We start from the raw sequence: 23781 nt of genomic DNA, 5'->3' as shown, positions 1-23781 counted from the left end.
TTAGCCTGATGGGCTTCCCTTTGTATGTCATCTGACCTTTTTCTCTAGCAACCTTTAAGAGTTTTTGTTTAGTGTTGACCTTGGACAGTTTGGTGACTATATGCCTTGGTGATGTTTATTTTGAATAGTATCTCACAAGTGTTCTTTGGATTTCTTGTATCTAGATGTCTACCTGTCTAGCAAGATTAGGGATTTTTTTGAATTATTCCCTTAAATATGTTTTTCAGGTTTTTATCCTTCTCTTTTCATTCTTTCTCAGGAATGCCAATAATTTGTAGGTTTAGTCAATTTACATAATTCCATATTTTTTTGAAGACTTTGTTCATTAAAAAAATTCTTTTTTCTTGATTTTTGTCTGGGTTAGCTAAAGAGACTAGTCTTCAAGCTCTGAAATTCTTTCTTCTGCTTGATCCAGGCTATTGATAAAGCTTTCAATTGTACGTTGAAATTCCTTAAGTGAGTTTTTAAATTCCAGAAGCTCTGATTGATTTCGTTCCATGATGTTTATCTTTTCCTTCATTTCTTAGATTGCTTTAGAAGTTTCTTTGTGTTGATTTTCAATCTTACCTTGGAGCTTGTTGAGCTTCCTTGCAATCCATGCTTTAAATGCTTTATCTGTCATTTCCGAGTTTCCATTTTGTTGGTGACCATTGCTGGAGAGCTAGTGTGATTTTTTTGGTGGTGTTACTACATTCAGATTTTTCATGGTGCCAGAATTTTTGCACTGATTCCTTCTCATCTGGAGACACCGGCACTTCTAATTTTTGTAATTATTTTTGTGCAGGAGGGATTTTTTCTTTTTCTTTCTTTCCCTGTAATATATATGTTTTTCCTTTCTGTTTCCTTCTTCCCCTCTACCTCACCAGGGGATGCAACTGTAGAGAATGCTGAATAGGGTCTTTTGGCTTTACTTCTATAGTCTTATGCACTGTTTTTGGCAGATTTTATATTGGGCTGTGCAGTTTGACCAACGAGCCAGCAGATGGCACTTATAGGTAAGAGCTGGCTGTGGCCAACATGGCTGGGTATATACTTGATCCTTGTTTACTGGCAGAAGCTCTTTGTTACCTGAGGCAATGGGCTGGTTCATGGAATGCACAGTGGTGTGAGTTCTCTGCTCAGCCCGGAGGCAGTGGGGGCAACAATTGGTGGGACTGAATTGGGCAGGTCCCCTGATGGCAGGCACAAGCACCTGTGCTGTGTGAGAATCCAGTGGGTAACACCAGGCACGCAGAAATATACCTTGGCACAGAGCTGGGAAGCCTACTCAGCCCCAAGTTCTCTGCATGGGGATGTGTCTCGTGTGTGTGTGTGTGTGTGTGTGTGTGTGTGTGTGTGTATGGTGGGGGAGGGGTCTAAACTCCTAATCCAAGATAATGGGTACTTCAGATGCCTGGAGATCTGCCTGGCATGGATCAAGGAGGGTTCCCCTGCACCAAGATCTCTGCATAGGAGGTCTGGCACTCTGCATAGGGTAGCTCTGGCAGCTGATCCAGGCAAGCAGGTGCTTGGAATGCCTGGAGATCTGCCTGGGAACGGAGCAGAAAAAGCTTCGCTGCACCATGATCTATGTCCAGGAAGGATAGGGTGAATCAAGCTGCTGAACCAGACAAGTGGGTGCTCCAGATGCCTGGAGATATGCTTGGGTGTGGAGTGGAGAGGGCTGTGCCACACCATGATCTTAGGGAAACAGCCTAAGGCCCCAACAATGGCACATGCAGACCAGTTCTAGGTGGCCAAGATGGCTCTGGCTTAAGTCTCACTCTTCAGCAGAAGCTACAGCTATAGCAGTTCTCCTGTTCCAGTCTTGCAATGGAATGGAGGAGAGCAGGTGCTCCAATCTGAGTCTAAAATGCCTGTGTGAGCATGCCAGCAAATGTCCAAAGAATGGCTGACTTTGTATTCACCTGAATTAAAAATGGTGTCCAGTTCTAGGTCCAGGTGTGGGAAAATTTCTGTACCTTTTCCCGGTGTCTTTCCCAGTGTCTCGAGTAGCTGGCCTTTTCCCGAGTTAGCGCCAGGGTTTGGGAGAAACAAAGCGCACTCTCTAGGTTTGGGTTGCTCAAGGTTTGGGTTACACAGATCCCCAGTGTAAAGAAGAGTCACAGAGGATGTCTCTGCTTCTTTCGCAGACTGGGCTTCACTCATGTTTATCAGTCAGACACCATCATGGGGGCTGTTTGCCAGCATTCTCCTTCCTGGGATCTGGAGTGTCCTTAACGATTCTGGAAGATTCCTGTTTTCCTTCTTCTGTAAAATAATTTGAAATGAGGAAGTGTAATACTTTCAGTTTTGTTCTTTCTCAAGGTGGCTTTGGGTATTCAGGGTTCTTTGTGAGTCCATACAAATTTTAGAATTATTTTTTCTATTTCTGTGAAAGTGCCACTGGAGGCCGGGCGCGGTGGCTCACGCCTGTAATCCCAGCACTTTGGGAGGCCGAGGTGGGCGGATCACGAGGTCAGGAGATGGAGACCATCCTGGCAAACATGGTGAAACCCCGTCTCTACTAAAAATACAAAAAAATTAGCCGAGCGTGGTGGTGGGCGCCTGTAGTCCCAGCTACTCCGGAGGCTGAGGCAGAAGAATGGTGTGAACCCAGGAGGCGGAGCTCGCTGTGAGCCGAGATCGCCCCACCGCACTCCAGCCTGGGCGACAGAGCGAGACTCTGTTTCAAAAAAAAAAAAGAAGAAACAAAAAAAAAAGAAAGTGCCTCTGGCATTGAATCTGTAGTTTTCCATGGGTAGTATAAACATTTTAACAATATTGACTCTTCCAGTTTATGAACATGGGATATCATTCGGTTTATTTGTGTCTATTTTAATTGCTTGCATCAATTTTTTTTTTTTTTTTTTTTGAGACGCAGTTTCACTCTTGTTGCCCAGGCTGGAGTGCAATGGTGCGCACTCAGCTCACCGCAACCTCCGCCTCCTGGGTTCAAGTGATTCTCTCCTTCTTCAGCCTCTCGAGTAGCTGGGATTACAGGCATGCACCACCACACCCGGCTAATTTTGTATTTTTTAGTAGAGACGGTGTTTCTCCATGTTGGTCAGGCTGGTCTCGAACTCCTGATCTCAGGTGAACCCCCCCGCCTCGGCCTCCCAAAGTGCTGGGATTACAGGCATGAGCAACTGCGCCGGCCACATCAATGTTTTATAGTTTTCACTCTGTAGTGTCTAAAGAGTGTGAAAAAATATTTTGTGGTTTTCAGAGTATAGATTTCTCATCTCCTTGTTAAATTTATGCATAAATGTTGTGTTGTTTTAATGCTATTACAAATGGCATTGTTTTTGTAATTTCTTTTTCAGATAGTTTGTTATTGGTGTATAAAAACACAACTGATTTTCATATGTTGATTTTGTATCCTGCAACTTTACTGAATTCATTAATCATTTCTAACAGTTTGTGTGTGTGTGTGTGTGTGTAGACATTAGGATTTTCTATATGTAAGATTATGTCATGAGCAAACAGAGACAATTTAACTTCTTCCTTTCTGATTTGAATGGTTTTTATTGCTTTTACTTTCCTATTTGCTCTGGCTAGGACTTCCAGGATTATGTTGAATAGAAGTGTGAGTGTGCACATACACTTCTTTTTCCTGACCTTAGAGAAAAAGCTTTTAGTTTTCCACTAATAAGTACGATGTTAGCTGTGGGCTTGTCACATATGGTCTTTATTATAATGTTGAGGTGCATTCCTTCCTACCTAATTTCTTGAGAGGTTTTTTAAAATCATAAAATGGTGTTGAATTTTACAAAATGCTTTTTTTTCTGAATCTATTGACATAAACATATTATTTTTTCTTTCATTCTGTTAATGTCTTCATGTTTATTGTGTCTGTTGAACTATCTTTGCATCCCAGAGATAAATCCTACTTGATTATTTCATATGATTATTTTAATGTGCTGTCGGTTCAGTGTATTTATATCCAGTTTGTTGGAATATAATTTTTTAACAGTAGAATTTTATGGTTCTTTATGTGGTATAAATTAAAATGCTTTCCCTTTAATTTATATTTTTACTTGGGTTTCCTCTCTTTTTTTCTTACTCTAGCTAAAGGTTTGTCAATTCTGTTTATCTAAAAAAAAATTCTTATTTTTGTTGAAGTTTCCAATTGTTTGTCTAGTTTCTATTTCATTTATTTCACTCCTAACATTATTTCCTCTCTTCTGCTAATTTTGTGCTTCATTTGCTTCTTTAAAATCCAGTTCTTTTGGCCAGGCACGGTGGCTCACATCTGTAATCCCAGCACTTTGAGAGGCTGAGGCAGGTGGATCACAAGGTCTGGAGATCGAGACCATCCTAGCTAACATGGTGAAACCCTGTCTCTACTAAAAATACAAAAAATTCGCTGAGCGTGATGGTGGGTGCCTGAAGTCCCAGCTACTCCGGAGGCTGAGGCAAGATAATTGCTCAGACCCGGGAGGCAGAGCTTGCAGTGAGCCGAAATTGCACCACTGCACTCCAGCCTGGGCAACAGAGCAAGACTCTATCTCAAAAAAAAAAATAAAAAAATCTAGTTCATTTGAGGTATACAGTTAGGTTGTTTATTTGCGATTTTTATTTTTTCTTGATGTAGACCTTATAGCACCAAACTTTATTCTTTGAGCTTTTTTTCCTCAGCACCCTGTAAGTTTTGTACGTTATATTTCCAATTTTGTTTGTCTCAAGATATTTTTTGATTTCCCCTTTGATTTCTTCTTACACTCATTCGTTCTTTAGGAGTGTATTTGTTAATTTTGCATATTTATAAGATTTCCAATTTTCCTCTTATTGATTTTTAGTTTCATACTGTTATTGTTAGAAAATATACTTGATATAATTTCAGTCTACTGAAATTTGTTAAGATTTGTTTTGTGGCTTAACATGTGATCCATACTGGAGAATATTCCTTGTGCCTTTGAGAAGAATATGTATTGTAATGCTATTGGATAGAATGATCTGTTTATGTCTGTTAGGTCTATTTTTCTATAGTGTTGTTCAAGTTCACTGTTTCTGTACTGGTTTTCTAAATGGGTAATCTATCCATAGTTAAAAGTGAGGTATTGAATTTACCTACTATTATTGTAAAGCTGTATATTCCTCCCTTTAGTTCTGTTAGTGTTTGTTTCATATATTTAAGTGCTCTAATGTTGAATGCATATATACAGTCATTCCTTGGTATCCTTGGAAATTGATTCCATCACCCCATTTACAGATGCTCAAGTCTCATATAAAATGGCATAGTATTTGCATATAACCTATACATATACTCCTATATACTTTAAATCATCTCTAGATTACTTGTGATATCGAATACATATATATGTGACCCAAGTAGTTGTTATGCTGTATTGTTTAGGGAATAACTACAAGAAAAAAAAGTTCTTACATGTTTGGTACAGATGTAACCATTGTAACCCTAACTGTATTTTTAATTTGTGGAACTGGTGGATGTGAAAGCTGTGCATACAGAGGATCCACTGCGTTTATACTTGTTATATCTTCTTGAGGAATTGATCCTTTTATAATTATATCACATTCTTTGTCTCTTGTGACAGTTTTTCACTTAAAGTGTCTTTGATATAAATATAGCTACTCTTGCTCTCTTTTGGTTAGCATTTACATGAAATATCTTTTTAATGTCTTCACTTTAAGCCTAAGTATATCCTTAAAACTAAAATATGTCTCTTATAGGCAACATCTAGATGGATCTTGTTTTTGTTTTATTTTAAATCCATTCAGCTAGTCTTTGTTTTTTGGTTGGAAAATGTAATAAATTTAAACTGATTTAAAGTGGTCATTGATAGGTAAGGACTTACTATTGTCATTTTGCTAATTGTTTTCTTTTATTTAGAGCCACTTTTCTGGCGTCTAATAGTTTTCTTACTGTGTTGTAGCTCCTTTGTTCCTTTCTCTCTTGCTGTCTTTCTTTGTTATTTGAATCAGGAGGTTCTAGCCTGATTTTTTTGTAGTGGTATGCTTTTATTCCTTTATCTTTTGTGCATCTAATACAGATTTTTTCTTTGTGATGATCATGAGTCTTACATAAAACATCTTATAACAGTATTTTAAACTTATAACAACTTAATTTTAATTACATATGAAAACTCTAAACTTTTATTCACCCCATTTTATGTTATTGATTTCACTACTGACATCTTTTTATAATATGTAATCATTAACAAGTTATTGAAGCTATATTTTTTAAAACTTCTGTCTTTTTAACCTTAACACTAGACTAAAAATGATTTCTGCACCATCATTACAGTATTATTGTACTGTGAATTTACTCTATATTTACTTTGACCAGTGAATAACAGCTTGCTGGATGCAATATACTTGGTTGGTGATTGTTTTCCTTTGACACTTTGAATATATCATTCCATTCTCTCCTGCCTGCAAGGTTTCTCCTGAGAAATGTTCTGATAATGTTATGCAGCTTCCTTTGTAAGTGATGAGATGAGCAGCTTTTCTCTTGCTGATTTCAAAATTCTCTGACTTTGATTTTTGACAATTTGATTAAGATGTGACTCAATGAAGATCTCTTTATGCTCAACCTATTTGGAGTTCTTTGGGTTTCATGTAGCCACATGTTCATTTCCTGCTCCAGATCTGGGAAGTTTTGTGTCATCATTTCTTTCTTTCTTTCTTTCTTTCTTTTTTTTTTTGAGATGAAGTTTCATTGTTGTTGCCCAGGCTGGAGTGCAATTATGTGATCCTGGCTCATTGCAACCTCTGCCTCCCAGGTTCAAGTGATTCTCCTGTCTCAGCCTCCTGAGTAGCTGGGATTACAGGCATGCACCACCATGCCTGGGTAATTTTTTGTATTTAATACAGACAGGGTTTCACCATGTTGGTCAGGCTGGTCTTGAACTCCTGGCCTCAGGTGATCCACCCTGCTCAGCCTCTCAAAGTGCTGGGATTACAGGTGTGCACCACCACACCCGGTCATCATCATTTCTTTAAATAACCTTCTAGCCTTTTTCTTTTTCTCTGATCCTTCTGAGATTTCCATGATATGCTTATTGGTCTGCTTGACAGTGTCCCATAAGTCCTATATGCTTTCTTCACTCTTTTCATTATTATTGTTATTATCTTTGTTCCTCTGACTGGGTAATTTCAAATGATCTGTCTTAGTGTTTGCTGGTTCTTTCTTCTACTTGACTGATTCTTCTATTGAAGCTCTCTATTCTTTTTTTCACTTTAGACATTGTATTCTTTGGCTCCAGAATTTGTTTGGCTCTTTTTTTGTGGTTTCTCTGTCTCTATTGAACTTCCGATTTTCTTTTCATGTATTGTTTTCCTGATTTTGTCTAGTGTTCTGCACTCTCTCATAGTTCACTGAGCTTTAGGATGGCTATTTTGATTTACTTATCATGGAATTTATAAATCTCCCTTTCTTTGGGGTTAGTCCACTGGAGCTTTATTTTGTTACTTTGGTGCTGCTATATTTCCTTGATTCTTTGTGCTCCTTGTAGACTTGTGTTACTCTTGTTGCATTTGAAGAAGTAATCGTCTTCTCTACTCTTTACTGACTGGCTTCAAGAGAGAAAGACCTTCACCAGCAAGCCCAGCTAGAGATTCTGGGAGTCTCTCAGACTTTTTCTGGATGTATCAATTTTACTCTTCTTGTTCTCTATAAGAGGAGAAATTTTAGGGGTTGTGTGCTGTCTCTGGATTCTGCAACACCAGGTCTGGTGCTATGAGGCTCCCATTTATTTTTCCTAGGGCAATGTTCAAGGTTATTCAAATCAGCAGGGTTGAGCTGTCTGCTAAGATCCACACCTTCTGTTGAGATATGTGTGCTATGAATGGGATTTTATGTGGGCTATGCACAGGGTACTGTCCATGGGGAGGGCATGTGGGGTCCTGGAGGCATGTGTCAGCTGATTATGATGGTCCTCAGGTGAGTCATTCTGCGGGCAAACCTCTTGGTGGAATGTGAAAGCTGATTAATAGGATTTATGTCTAGCCTTTTCAGTGCGTCCACTCTTGGATTTTGTGTTCCCCTGGAGTGCTGAAATATCAGTTAGACTCTGTGATTCCCACAAAGATATACTCATCCATGGGTAGTTACCAAAATTGGTGTTTTGGCGGGGCATGACATCTAGAATCTCCTAATCCATCATCTTGCTGACATCCCTCCCTGTTTTCATTGTTGTTATTTTATTTAATTAATTAATTTTTTTTTGAGATGGAGTTTCACTCTTGTTGCCGAAACTGGAGTGCAAGAGCACAATCTCGGCTCACTGCAACCCCCACCTCCTGGGTTCAAGTGATTCTACTGCCTCAGCCTTCCCGAGTAGCTGGGATTACAGGTGCGTGCCACCACACCTGGCTAATTTTTTGTATTTTTAGTAGAAACAGGGTTTCACCATGTTAGCCAGACTGGTCTTGAACTCCTGACCTCAGGTGATCTGCCCGCCTTGGCCTCTCAAAGTGCTGGGATTACAGGTATGAGCCACCGTGCCCAGCCTTCGTTGTTCTTATTATTATTATAAGATGTCCATTTATCTTCATGTATAGCTGATAATGCTCCAGTTTTTATTCTCATGGTGATTCATATGGGAAAAGTTAGTTTGTATGATTATTTAGGAGTCATCGTTCCTTCATTTTAGACAGTTTTGCTTACTTTTTAGGAAAAAAAAACAAAATTTGATCTAACCTAAATGTGAATTATGATTCAGAAGAGTGGAAGGCATTATCATTTCTGTGGCTTCAAATACCAATGTTGCTTGTTTATCTGTGTTGCTAAGGTTGACTTTTGTTGCTCTCCCTCATGTATTGGGATTAACCACACTGACTGAATGGGGATTCTTATGGTTTGAATTCTGTCCCCTCTAAAAATATTGAAGTCCTAACTCCCAGTACCTGTAAATTTGACCTTATTTGGAAACAGGGTCTTTGTAGATGATCAAGTTATGGTGAAGATTGCATCTTTATAACAAAGAGAAGTTTGGACATGGAGATACATGCGCACAGAAAGAATGTCATGTGTAAATTGGAGTTAGGCTCCCCAAATCCAAGGAACTCCCAGAAGCTAGGAGACAGACCTGGAACCATCCTTCTAAGGTTGATGCCTTTGGGGTGAACATCCTGCTGACACCCTAATCTCAGGTTTCAGGCCTCCAGAACTGTGAAACAATAAATTTCTGTTGTTTGAGCCACTCGGTTTGTGGTACTTCGTTAAAGCTGACCTAGAAAACTAATAAAGGGCTATTATATAGGAATCCATACTTTTCATGGTTGCCCCATTAGCACTCTATATTAAAAGTTCTATATTAGGAGAGTTTGAGGGAGCACAAACTGTCAAAACCACACCTAGGAGAAGTTTATTTCAGAAACAGAAATTAAAGAGTCACTCAAGCTGGTAAATGTACTGAGTCTTTAGGCCCATTATACTAATCTGTCTCTGATGTGCCTGGCCCATGGGAGTTACTTGTAACTTATGAGATGCAAAACCCTGTTGGGCTCATATGTGACTGGGAAGTGCCCATCATTCATTCATTTCTATTTTATTAGATCTTAGGATATTTAATGTGCCAGTATTCAGAGTAATAAAGATAGAGCTGTGAGTAAAAGTCTGCCAGGAAATTGGTAATGAAAATACTTTTGTGGGTGACACAGCAATTTCACCCACTCACATTTAACTGAAAAGTTCTCTTCATAGAGACCAGATAACCCAAGCTGTGCTGTGCTGTTTGACACGTACATATTTCCCCTTTCATCATAATTACTCTGCTGGCCAGTGTGTGGGTACTGTTTTTTTTCCCCTTGAGGAGCAAGTTTTTTTTTTTAAGAGAGGAGGAAGAAAGACAGGAAAGTTGTTTGCTTGAGTGTAGAAATGCCATCGTGAAGTAAGACATTTTAAAAAATTCTCTTATTTCTGGCATGCTGCGTAGTTGTAATTCCACAGTATATAGATTACTTTAACATAGCTAGAAGCAGCTTGATTACATTTTATATCGGGGTAAAAATGCCCCTGGCTATTGGTATACAGCTGGGAAGGAATTTTATGGCTGAACTGAAGCAAATCTGAAAAGTGAGGAGGCCTGACTAAACCCTCTTTCATCATGCCACTAAAATCACTGTTTAGTGTTAGTTTCTGAACCAAGGTATGAGTCACAAATTTAAAAAGCCTCAAGAATATGTGCTTGCAAAATAATGTGTACCACTTTCCTTTACTGGAAAAAATTAGCTGATATACATTTAAGACTTATAAATGAGATATAAAGTCAAATAGTAGTGCATGCCTGCTATGTCTAAGGACTTTGCTGGGCCCTGTAAGAAACACAAGGAAGGGTAAGTTAGGTGTCTAATCTGAAGAATCTGAATGCCTATCCAAGAAGTCAGGTCAAATATAGTTAAAATGTTAACAGGAGACTGAGTAGTATATAATCTGAGTCAAATGGATGATATAGCAGACAGTAAATGCAATAGGAATTCAAAAGAAGGAAAGGTCACATTAACTCAATCAGTTATTCATTCGTTCTTTTGATCAGCAAATATTTATTGAGTATGTATTATATGTCATGTACTGGCCTGAGTGAAACAATTTAATATGCACATGGCATCCAGTATGAATGCGGCAGTCTAAGTTCTTGATTACAGTCACACCTGTGATCTGACCTTCTCATCTGACCTCTACTTTAACCCCATTTTACAGATGAGAAAATCAAGACTTAGCACTCAAAAAAACAAGCTAACTAATTCAAATGAGTATTTGAGTTAAACCTGATGGTTTGAGTAACAGTTTTCAGAGATGACTCAGAGGTATGAGGTCTGGGTGCTTGAGAGGCCTATGAACCAAAATAGTCATCGAGTGAGTGTGTGTTTAGGGGAGATGAGAAATTTTATTTTAAATATATTGAGTTAAAAGCAATGGTGGGATGTCTATGCGAACCAACCACTTCGTCTTTGGAGATGTGGGCCTGCATCTTTGATAGCTAAAGATTTGGGTGGCATACATATAGAAATGATAATTGAAGTATTAATAGTCAATGAGTTTTCCAGAAGAAGTAGTATGAATATTTGAGAGAGGGGGCAAAGGTTCCAACCTTGTGAAAAGCCTGTGTTTGGGGAGGTGGGGAAGGATTGACAAAAGCAGTCATCAAAGTGACCAACAAGAAGGAATAGCTTCAGGAAATGCTGCCTCATCCCAGAGGTTGATAGCATTACTTCAAGATGAAACATGTTAAAAACTACAAGGAATGCAAGGAGAAAGAGGGCAAAACAGAAACAGAAAAAGGGCCTTTGAGGATAGCAACAATGCAGATTTGTGGTTCTTGGGAAGGTTCAGTGAAGAAGGAGGAGCCAAACCAGATTACTTTAAGAGATGGGAGCATAGAGAGGAATGAAAGTAGTGGATATAAACTATTCAACTGGGGGGAATTTAAAAAATTTAAGTGTGAAATCTTTCAACTGAAAAGTAATTATCCAATGTTGTTTTTCACTTTGTCCAAAGATTAGATTAATATTACCCTCCTAATGAAATGAAAGCAGCATTCTACTTTCCTGATTCCTTTAATTGCTCTTACTGCAATGTTGGCAGACTGCTTTAGGGAATTATCTGAAATCTGATTCCTATTAGATTCAGAATTTAGTCATCATCATGGTTCAGAGAGTAAGACATGGAAGAACAAAATCAACAAAGATCATGCCCTGTGCCAGATCAGAGAGAAGAGGAATACTGTGCTCTTTCATGGCAGGTCCAGTGCTTTTGGTAGTCTCCATTTATTCCCACTGCCCAGCAAGTCTCAGCACGTGGCAAATGCTTTACAATATTTATTTGATGTAATGTGGAAGTATTAATTGTGGAGATAATGATTTTACTGTGCATACTTCTTTTTGGACTCTTTAAACATGAATTACCTGGTGGCATCCAGGATCGAAGGCTTAAAGGCAGTGTTTAAACCAAAAGGCCATCACTAATAAGCTCACTACAAAAACAAAGACTACATGAATCTAATGGCTTTATGCTATTCTCCAATTTGCCACCTTTTTAAAGGTTTTTAGAGCTTAGATGTGGAAATTTTTCAGGTGAGTAGAGTTAAGATGATGCTGTAATGCATCAACATGACTTAAAGCAGATGAAACATTTTCTGTTACCCCTCTTAGAATGACCAAGTCATGTTTTATTTACAATTTACATTCACCTTTTCCTAAAGGGGTTTGATGTGCCATATAAAACTATATTAATGTAAAAGTTACAAGTAGGATTAGAAAGAAGAGTAGAGCAGCAAGCATCTGTAAGGGACAGAGAGAGGACATGTTTTTAGACTGTTAAAATAAAACCTTTTTTATAACAGGACATTGAGTTTGCCTCTTTGTGTTTCCTGGTAGCTCAGGCAAAGCTGAAATAGTTTGGATATAATTTTATTGTTGGTTAAAATAATCACAGGAACCAAGCTCTAGGAGGAATCTGTCATGCAGTTTCTTACATAGGTGGTTTGGAGGAACACAGCAGTCAGTGTTTTAAGCACAAAATCACGCAATACCCAGGTAAAATGTTGAACAAAGTACCTTTTATGTTGCCCTCTATAAAGTTTGAAGGTGTAACATTAAATTGAACCCCAGGGAAGATACTTCCACTGGAGCATGGGAGAGAGTAGTTGCCAGATAGTGAATTGCTTTTTTTAAAAAAACTGTTTATATACTTTTGTATTATGAAAGTAATTCAAGTAGATAAATCTATAAAGATAAAATAAAAAGAAATGCATTTATAATTTCAACATCACTTTGTCGAAATATTAGCAAACTAATATTTGCTTTGTTGCCACAATGAATAAATGCATGTGTCTAAACATATGAATATAAATTTACATATGGTATACAGATGTATATTATGAATGAGAACATATAGTGCATATAAGCATTTGGAATTGAGATATATCTATGTCTATATATCTATATGGATATATGATTTTGTATTAGTCTTCCATTTAATAAAAAATCATGCCCATTTCCTCATGAAAACTATTTTAATGGTTAATAATTCTTTATGCAAATAATTTATAATTCATTGAACTCTCAGTTGTTGGGAAATTTGTGTTTTATTTTATTAAGGATATTATCGCTGTGATATTTGTTGCAAATACATTCATAGTTTATGATTTGCCTTTTAATTTAATCTTTGGTATTAGAAACTTTCATTTTTATTTAGTCAATCTTTTCCATTGTAATTTTGTTTCTGCTTTTTTTCCATAAAGTCTTCCTCGTCTGGTTCATTTTTCAACTTTGAAAAGCTGAAATTTAGCTAGGCAATGATTATGCCTACTAAAACCTAGACTTAGGCAAGTTATGATTTTTAACAAGAAAAATATAATATTCCCAGGCAGAAGAATGTAATTTTAAGTAGTGAAGAGAAAAAAATATGACCGAAATGATAAAGTCCCAAGTCTTACTAGGAAGACTTTTCCCTTTACGTTTTCTTCTTTGCTATAGTTTGAAATGTCTTCCCCACTCCAAAGTGGTATGAATGTGTTTCTAAATTTTCTTCTAGTTCTTTTATACTTTCACCTCTTACACTTAAATTTTATTCATTTGGATTATTTAACTTGGTATATGTGAATACATCTAAATTATTTTATTTCAAAATGAACCTGAATCTCAGCACCATTTTTAACAAATCACCCTTTCCCACTGATGTGAAATGTTATTTGCTAATGTTCTGTTACACTCTATTTCTTAGGACTCCTGCCCAGTCCTAGCGTTTCTAACCAAAATTGTGTATAGCTTTCTCTTTACATCTTTGTCCTTTTAATTTTGTGAAATTTTGATATTGGGAATGGCTTTGCTTCACTAAATGTATTAAAAATAGCATTCCAAATGTTTTAGTACTCCAAAATGGCTTATAGATCGTAAGAAATATCTGTTCCTTGACAGTTGAAGGATCTTGCTTATAAAACTGTTGGATTCTATAGCATTCTTTGAAGGCAATTCTTCAAATTAAAACATAATGTCCATAGCTATGGGCCTGTTAAGATATTTCACTTCTTTTGAGTCCATCTTGATTATTTATATTTTCTCACAAACTGTCCATTACACACAATATTTATAATTTTATATTTTAAAATATCTATAACATTTTGTATGGAATATTTGCATATGATATTCTTTCATACTTTTAAATAATCCCATGTTTCTTGATTATATATGCTTTCTCATTAATAATGTTTGTGTTTTTTCTCTTCTGCTAAGTTTATCAAAGTGTAAATCTTTTTTAAAAATAACTGAAAATTTTACAATCCATTTCTATTATGTTCAAATTTATTCAATTATTTTAGTAATTGATTACTTGATTATATTTAATAACTTCTCCAATTTTTTTCTTCCAATTTTCCTTAGGTTCTGTCTTGATTTTCTGACATTTTGAGTTCAAATAAAACCTTGAAGACTATTTTTATAAGTAAATTTGGCCATATATCTGAAGTTTCTATTTTTGTTTTTATTCTCATTTTTACATGAGTATTTCTCAAGTGACAAATCTTAAAACTTTAAAAAATGTTTACATTAAACTGTGTCACAAGAATTGTGTTGGTTTCAGAAAATTTATTGAATGGCTTTTCATTTTTTATTACAGTCGAGTAATAGTATGAAATGAGAATTACTTGATCTTTATAATTTGATACAAGAAAGAGGTTACTGGTAAACTGGCCCTAAATCATTTTTAAAAAGTAATTTTTAATACTTTTCATTCTATATTAGCTTTGTAAGAAGTTTTTCACTGTCTAAGTATTCTTTGTCTTCAAAATGAGGTCTTAAAGTTTATAAGTGATATGTTTAATTTGTCTTGTAAGAGTTTTGTTTTTGCTATTTTGTTTTATTGTTCCCTTTTTTGCTTTTTTACACACTCCTTAACTTTTTTGCGGTCTCTAAAAGAACTATTTCTAAACTATTTTTATATTGTAAATTTTAAAATACAGTGATTTTGAAGATTTACATTGTGTTTCACATTCAGCTTGTAGCTACACTTACATTTATTCAAAAATATTCTTCAAAGGTTCTTTTTAATAATCAAAATCTAGTGCAGTTGGATCTTTTGAATCTTTATTTCCCTGTTTTATGTGAGATATTTAGCATGCTTTAATCATCTTCCCTTTTAATATAATTTGTGTTTTATTCTGATTCTTATAATTTTAAATTTTTAATATTACGTATGTTTTTTCAGTTTTTTCTACTTTGTATTAAGTTTTATCTTAATAATCACAAACTCAATTATTAATTGGTTTCAGTTTCAGTATCAATTATTAATCTTTTTTTAAATCATGACCTTCTCATTCTTAGATTTTAAATTTGGATTTATCCCTTGGTAGAACAATGTCAAGTAATTTTTTTCAAGATTGTGGATATGTTTTTGTGAATATGCCTGCACTTTATAATAACTTTCTATTTCCTTCATGCGTGAATGACAAGTTGGCTTAGCATAACATTTTAGTTCACCACCTTTTTTCCTTCAAAATTCTGTGGTTGCTTTTTTCGTTACCTCTTGGCATTTCACATTGCAAAAGAAGAGTCTGAAGCCAGCCCAGTTTTGATTTCTCTGTTAGTAACGTGTTTTCTGGAGGACTGCTTGTTAGATGGTTTGTTTATTCTTGTAAGTCCAATATTTTGTCACTCTTCGGTTTCTTTTTAATAATTTATACTAAGCCCCTCTCAATCTAAGAGTTATCTTTGAAAATTGTGTCCATATTTATCTTATCAGAATGTCCTGTTGATTCTTTACCTCCATCAACTCTGGAATTGATGTTCACTTTCTTAATCTCCTGTTCCCATCCAAGGTCAAACCACTGATATCTCTTACCAGGAGTCTCACTATAAGAGCCTTAGACTTGCTTCTTTACAAATCTACACATTGTAGTCATAAAGATTGTTTTGTCTCCAAATTCAAATCTGTTCACATCATATATCTGCTTAAATAAATTTGATGGCTTTTAGATAAAGAGTGAAATCTCTAACATAGATTTACTATAGAATTTTTTAAACTGCAGGTGGGGATCTATTGATGTGTCATAAAATCAATTTGTGAGATCATGAAAGCATTAAATAAATCATTATACAGATGGAATATACATGTAAAATATAAATAAACCTAAACAAAAGATTTCATGAACTGCTACCTACTTTTACAATAAGAAAAGCACTCTGGTATGTTCCATTTTATTCTGTTCTTTCATTTTTTTAAATGCTCTCATGATCTAGCAAATTGATTTCTGTATATGTACATACGGGTTTGTGTACTGGGCTATGATATAGAAAGTATTTCTGACTTTAGGTCATGGTGTTAAAAAAAAAATGGTTGAAGTCGTTGACCTACAGTGCGCTGGATAATCTAGCCCTTGCATGTCTCCCCAGTTGTCATCTCATCCATGTTCCTCTTGACTCTAGCCTTCTTGTTTCATGGGCCTTCTGTTCCTCAGCCATACCTCAACCTACCGTTCCTCAACCATGCTATGCTCACTTTGACTATAGGTCTTTGCATATGCTATTCTCTCTACCTGGGACTCACCTATTCCCTGGTTAATTTCCACTGTCTCTCAAACCTTATATGAAACATAATTTCCTCAGGGAAACCTTTTCTGACCTCCTGATTAGCTCACATCCCCGTCACATGCTCTCATATCACCACCTACTCTCTTGTCCTGGTTGTAATTTTATGTTTAGTCATGTGATTATCTGTCTGTGTTTCCTAATTACTCGCAGGGTAAAGATATCCCTTTAAAAAATTTATTCTCAGTGTATTTTGTATAATGGTACCCAAGTAATTATTTGTACTTGTATGTAATAAATGAATGCATATTCACACAATATTTTGTCTTAGTTTGGGAAGACTTTTTCATTGTACTTCTGGTTACTGCTTTGTTTCAAACTTCTTTTTTCTTCCTATTCTTGTATATTTCTTGTGAATGTCTAGATTTTTTATGATGGACATATTTTTTTCCTTTTATAGTGACTCAATCTGTTAATATCTACTCTTATCCTCTGCACTCTGACATAGCTTCTCAACTCTGTTTTCCTCATCAATTACTGGATTTAAACTGTGAATACTGTTTTTTTTTCTACCTCTACTTTTTATTTACTGCATCATAGTTTTCAAGCTCAAACCTGTTATTTTTTAAATCTCACTCTGTTATGTTTAAATATGTTTGTTCACTCCTTATTACTTTATGTTACTTTATCATATAGACCATGTCTTCTTTTATTTTATTGAGGAATCCAAGACATTTTCTAAAATTTTGTTCTGGATTTTATCATACCAGTTTCCAAAGCTTATTTATTCTTTTAGGAATTGGGAGGATGACATTGCCTCTATTTGGGCTTCAAGATCTCTCTCTCTCTCTTTTTGGACAAAACAGACTGTGTGTGCTACTTACTGTCCACTTCGGAGCTGTAGATTTTCAGATCTCTAGCTATAGGACAACATGATATGCAAAATGCCTAAGCCAAATTCAGTTATCTAATGAGGTTCTGTAGGCATGAGATGGAAACTTCTGTTTTGCAGTATAGTTCTCTGATGCACATCATAATTTTTCAGTAGTTTTGTAGATATTGAATGAAGATGGATGGGAATTTTATTTTGGTTGGTTCAGAAATTTGGCAGAATATTGATAAGCAAGCCCTCCTCATTGTTCAGGTTGATGGAGAATGCGCTCTTCTGAGTTGGGGGATAGGTAATGGTGTGTTTTGGTGTCCTTTTTTTGCCTACTTCCTGGTTGGCAGGTTCATTCTGTTTAATGAAGTAAAACATGGGTGTACAAACGCTTGTTTCTGAAATGAGCTCCATTGTCTTTGTACTTAGTAAAAATTTCTCATATACGAAAGCAATAGGTTAACTATCAATCTTAGATTTTATCTTATATATGTTTTCTACTTTATATGTTTTAATGTATGTTAGGTGATGAAATTAAAGTTATAGGATTTTAGAGTAAATTTCACAGATTGACTGTTCTTAAATTTGAGAAGATAAAGGAGTTTGCTTTTTTTTTTTTTGTCAGGCAGGAAGTTATACTTAACAATCTCTTTTAGGATTAGTTGCTTAAACTGGGTTGGGAATACTTACACATATTGGTCAGATGCTAAATAAATCTATAACAAAATATCTTTTCTTGGGGATATTTTTATTTTTATAAAATTGATCACATATTACAGTCGTAGATTTTTCTGTCTCAACTCTGAGGTTTTTTGGAATCTACAAAATATGAAGTACTCATTCTATACTGTGAAGCAATCAAAATGCTAGCGATCTCCTTAATACTTTTGTTTACTCGAATTACCCAACATTTTTTTTTAGTGCTTAAGATCACCAGATTATCATAATTCTCCTAGTAGTCTTTGGAATACTTGAAATAATGAGGGGATTTCTACTGTTATATATTTATTTATACATAAGCCATATAGTTTTATAATCCAGCAAATAACAACTGAGTATGTGGAAAGTTTTCTGTTTGGACTTTCTTGGTGCTTGGCATGTTTGTTACACTGACACTCAGGTGAGATATCCCAAAGATTGTCTAGTTTTCAATGGATATGTATGTTTTTATCATTTCTTTAAAAAAGTCTTACCATGGGCAACAATTTGCCAAAATATTTTTACTGATTGTTGTCACTTGTTATTGAGCCTTCTTTTCAGAGCTATCTTTTTGAAACAGATATGAACTTTATGAGTCATTGAGTGATTTAAGTTAAAATGAATTTGATAGCTTTGGGGGAGTTTGCTCAAGGGAAAAAAGGAGACTGTGTTTTTGTCTACACGTATTGTCAAATCAAGACATAGGAGAGCCAACTTTATTCTCCCAGAAGAGATATGGTCAAGATTGGTTTCAGCCTATTTTCTATCTTATATATATATTTAAAAGAATTTGTTTTTCCCACAGATGATTTTGAATAAAAAGTTGTCAATTATTTTCATCATTATTAATCTCAAGTCATAGTAGTAGAAATTGTCATTCCACCCTAGTCGGCTTAGGCCTATAATATTGCTTGCTCTAATAAGTATGTGGCAACACATTTCCAGCAGTGTCAATGAAGTTCATATTAAGTTTTAGGAAATCATTTCACATTTTAGTATTTCCAGGTGAAGATATTGCGGTGAACTGAGTTTACACATTTAATAATATTAACCCCTTAAAAATGTATGTGAAATTACATTTCAATTTATCACAGAGATTGCATTTAATATGGTGAAGTTATGAAGATGAATTAGCTTAAGAAACTGTGCTCCATTTTTTATCCACTTTGCAGAGAAAGACCTGGAAAGAATATGTGCAGAATAATCTAATAAATTTAGATTTAAACTTGGATGAACAGTCCAAGATAAAGTATATTACCTACCAGCATTGTGCTATTGCCTAATGAATATTTGGAGGATATAATGTTCGGTTATTTATTACACTGATTTCACACACAAAAGTGTATCTTGTCAATCAATATATAGAAATTAAGACTCATCATACTACTGTCTTCTGGAAACTGGAAAAGTACCAAAGAAATATGATCTTCTTATATCAATTCAAGAGTTTGAAGACTCCCTTTGTGATGTTGGCTGAACTTTGATGTGTATTAAATTATTATTTTTTCTGTTAGCTTGGATTTTAAAGGGGCCTGACCGTTTGGAAATGGCAAAATTGTTTTCATGAATACTTCAGAGATTTAAATATTTTCATTTACTTTCTGTATTAGTTCATTTTCACGCTGCTGATAAAGACATACCTGAGACTGGGCAATTTACAAAAGAAAGACATTTAATGGACTTTCAGAAGCTGGGGAGGTTTCACAATCATGGTGGAAGGTGAAAGGCATGTCTCACATGGCGACAGACAAGATAAGAGATCTTGTGCAGGAAAACTCCCCCTTATACATCATTGAATCCTGTGAGACTCATTCACCACCACAAGAACAGCACAGGAAAGACCTGCCCCATGATTCAACTACCCTCCATCGGGTCCCTCCCACAACACATGGGAATTCAAGATGAGATTTGGGTGGAGGCACAGCCAAATCACATCACTCTCCATATTGCTGTATTCTGAGAAACAATATTTAGTCGCTGAAAGATTTGATTAAAACACAATTTGGGTCAAATAATATCCATTTATTTTCGTGGGGGATTTGGATTATAAAGTTCCACAGTTGTTGGGTTATTGATTGTGTCACTATTCCTGACACTTGCTAAGCTCAGTTGGGATGGGTTGAGATAAAGCATAATAGTACCGTTATTTTATTAAGGGAGTTAAGGGGCTTTAGATTTCATATTTATTAAGGGAACTAAGTAGAATCTAAGGAATAGGAGGATTTAGAAAGAAGTTAGCTGAGGCATTGATTATGATCTATCCTTGGGGAGAGTGGTGTTTGATGAAAGTCTCTTTACTGGGTATATCCCCAGAAGAATATAAGCCATTCTATTATAAAGATATATGCACATGTATGTTCATTGCAGCGTTATTCACAATAGCGAGGGTATGGAATCAACCTAAATGCCCATCAATGATAGACTGGGTAAAGAAAATGTGGTGCATATATACCATGGAATACTATGCAGCCATAAAAAGGAACAAGATCATGCCCTTTGCAAGGACATGGATAGACTTAGAAGCCATGCTCCTCAGTAAACTGACACAGGAACAGAAAACCAAACACTGCATGTTCTCACTTATAAGTGGGAGCTGAATGATGAGAACACATTAACATATGGAAGTGGGGAAAATACACACTGGGGCCCATCAGAGGTAGGGTTGCGGGAGGGAGAGCATCAGGAAGAACAGCTGATAGATGCTGGGCTTAACACGTAGGTGATGGGATGATCTGTTCAGCAAACCACTATAGCACACTTTTACCTATGTAACAAACTTGCACATCCTGCACGTGTATCCCAGACTTAAAATAAAAGTTGAAGAAAAAAAAAGTCTCTGTGAAGTATGACCAACCAGAAATGTAAAGACCAGCCAGAAAGAATCTTGACTGAAAAAAATATATGGAAGAACATGTTGTCCTTAAAATGTTGTCACATTGAAGTTCACAAATGGAGACAAATTTCCACTCCAGGGTGTGAGCAAAGTAAAAATGAACAGAATATTATAGTGATCAGAAACTTCAGGGAGCAATCATAATATCATTCACATCAGCTTCCTGACTCAGATCCTACGTATTGGTCAGTTTTGTAAGGTTTTAAAGAATTTTATTCATTTATTTAAGGATTTTTAAAAATGTAATATTAGTCTTAGAAGGATGTAAAAGAGATTCAGAATACACCTCTCTGTAATATCCTATATAGAAAGATAGGACCTAGAAGAATAGGATTTGCATTTTTAGGAGACCTCATAAAGTCTTTGAATTATAGCTAAGTGTTGGTTTTCACAGTCAATGTTGGACTCTTCCAGATGGAGATTGGGATAATCTCACCGATTTCTAGCACCTTTCATTCTATGGACCATGCTGAGCTTCTAGCCCATTCGAAGCAACATCTTTTTATTTACAAAAGAATAAAGAGGAGAAAAGTGAGGAGTTCAGGCAGTAAGAGATTTCTTCAGAAGTGCTGTCAAGTTGAAAGCTAGACAATTTTTTCTTCAAATATTTTGAAAGCTTAGTACTTTTTTTAGGTTTATTCAAAAAGCTGAGTATTGTGAGAAGGACTCTCATAATAAACCTAAAAATACTATATTTAATGCCTCATCCAAAATCTCATAGATTCAGAACTGCTGTTTGTTTTCCTCTTCTACGATCAGACTTTTGGAGCCATAGCTGCATGGGTCATCCTGAGCCATGGCTTCCCACCCATTTCCTTCAGGTGAAATAAGAAATCTTGGTGACGTACTGCACATGCACCCTAAAACTTAAAGTATATTAAAAAAAAAGAAATCTTAGTGAAGTAAAAAAAGATTGAACTCACTCAGAAACAAATGAAACTTGATACATGGGCCAAAAAGAATCTAAATGCCAAGGAGATTATGTAGCAGATGTCCTAAGGCAATTTGAGAAATTAATGCTGAATCCCTTGAAAGGCACAAAGGGTAGAATTTCTCAAAAAGTAGAATATTAGCATCTAGAATACAAGCTAGATAACTTATAGGATGGAGGACATAGATAGAACCTTTGAGTTTTTCTTCCCCTTTTCCCAAAATGTGTCTGAACATTGAACCAGAGTCAGAGGCTTTCTCATGTTGTAACTGTAGGAAGCCAGACTACATGAACAGGTCCTGCTGCTATCACCTGGTCTCTTGCAAATTTCTATTTCCTTGCTCCTCAAATAATTCTGAGAATTAGCCCTTCTCAGTTTAATAATGTTCAACTCAGGGCCCTGAATATTATAGATTTATATGCTGAGATTTTTGATCTACTAAATTTATTTCAACTGAAGATCAAATGCTTTTGGCTGGTGTTACAATTGAGTTTTTTTTTTTTCTGGGAATAAAAAGTTAATGTCACCTCTCAATTCAGCTTCATTCTTCAACTCACCTCTCTTGGCTAATGAACACAGCCCAGGCATTTCAGCCACCAAATTTCACCTTGCTGAGTTTAGCAGATATGCAAATGCAAAATGCAAAATATCAATAGCACAGCTGGTGCTTGGGTTTGCGATTGTAGTGAAAAGAGAAGAAATGGGAACCATACAACATCTAATGTCAGAAGTGGGGTCCAATAACTTTTCTAGTTTTTCTCTTTTGATATAGCATTTATGTACAATGAAATGCACAAATCTTAAGTAGACATTCATTAGTTTTGATCAATGTATATATTTGTGTAACCCAAACTTTTTTTTTTTACCACCACTCCAAAATGTCCTGGAATGCCCCTTCCCAAATAATCCCCTACCCACCCCTCAGAGGTAACTACTTTTCTGATTTTTTTCACCTTAGAATAGTTTGCCTGTTATAGAACTTCATATAATTGGAATAATTCAGTATGTACTCTTTTGTGTAAGGCTTCTGTATTAGTTTTCTAGGGCTGCCATAACAAAATGCCATAGATTGAGTGATTTAAACAACAGAAATTTATTTTCTGATTTTTCTGAAGGCTGGAAGTTTGAGATCAAAGTGTCAGCAGGTTTGGTGTCTTCTGAGGCCTCTCTTCTTGGTTTGCAGATGGCAGCCTTCTCACTGTGACCTCAGAGATGGTCACCCCTCTGTTTATATTTTGTCCATGTCCTAATCTCTTCTTCTAATGTCACCAGCATATTGGATTAGGGCCTATCCATGAGACCTTATTTTTCCTAATAACCTCTAAAGGCCCCGCCACCAAACATGGACATATTCTGAAGTGCTGGGGGTTAGGACTTCAACATATGAACTTTTGGCAACACAATTTAGCACATAACAGCTATTTCAATTATCAAACTGTTTTTGAGATTTATCTGTGTTGATTTTATGAGTAGTTTTTTCTTTTTATTGCTGAGTAGTTTATTGTATGAATGTGTCACAGTTTACTTGTTATTTTAACAGACACCTGGGCTATTTCCAGTTTTTGGTTATTGTGAATGAAGTGACTTAAACATTATGCTTCAAATCTTTTTGCCAATGTATATTTTCATTTATTTTTGCTTAATACGTAAAAGTGGAATTACTGGCTATATGAGCAGATGTTCATTTAACTTCATTAAAAACTTCTCCCAAATTTTCCAGTGTGGTGGAAAATTTCTCACTATCGGTTTATGAGAATTGCAGTTTCTCCAAATCCTTAGCAACATTTAGCTCTATAGGTATTTTAAAATTTTATTCATTTTGGTGGATGTATACTAGTATCTCAATGTGGGTTTAATTTGCATTTTCCCCCAGTGACTAATGATGTATTAGGTTGGTGCAAAAGTAATTG

General features: G+C 35.7%; 1 long non-coding RNA gene across 1 annotated transcript in view, besides 1 other annotated feature; it reads left to right on the top strand.

The window, feature by feature from the left end:
- The window catches only part of LINC02542 (long intergenic non-protein coding RNA 2542), a 257985-nt gene that overhangs the window by 94458 nt on the left and 139746 nt on the right, over window positions 1-23781 (top strand). The gene's annotated exons all lie outside the window — the stretch shown is intronic.
- Window positions 18409-18609: a silencer, noted in NCBI's record as "peak5921 fragment used in MPRA reporter construct". NCBI's record gives its function as "represses an SCP1 promoter by STARR-seq MPRAs in K562 erythroleukemia cells {active_cell/tissue: K562}" and the evidence as "EXISTENCE:reporter gene assay evidence [ECO:0000049][PMID:32103011]".

This window comes from Homo sapiens, chromosome 6, assembly GCF_000001405.40.
Source record: "Homo sapiens chromosome 6, GRCh38.p14 Primary Assembly".
Classification (NCBI taxonomy): Eukaryota; Metazoa; Chordata; class Mammalia; order Primates; family Hominidae; genus Homo; species Homo sapiens.
Note: the sequence above shows the minus strand (reverse complement) of the source record. Positions and strands in the feature narration are given on the sequence as shown.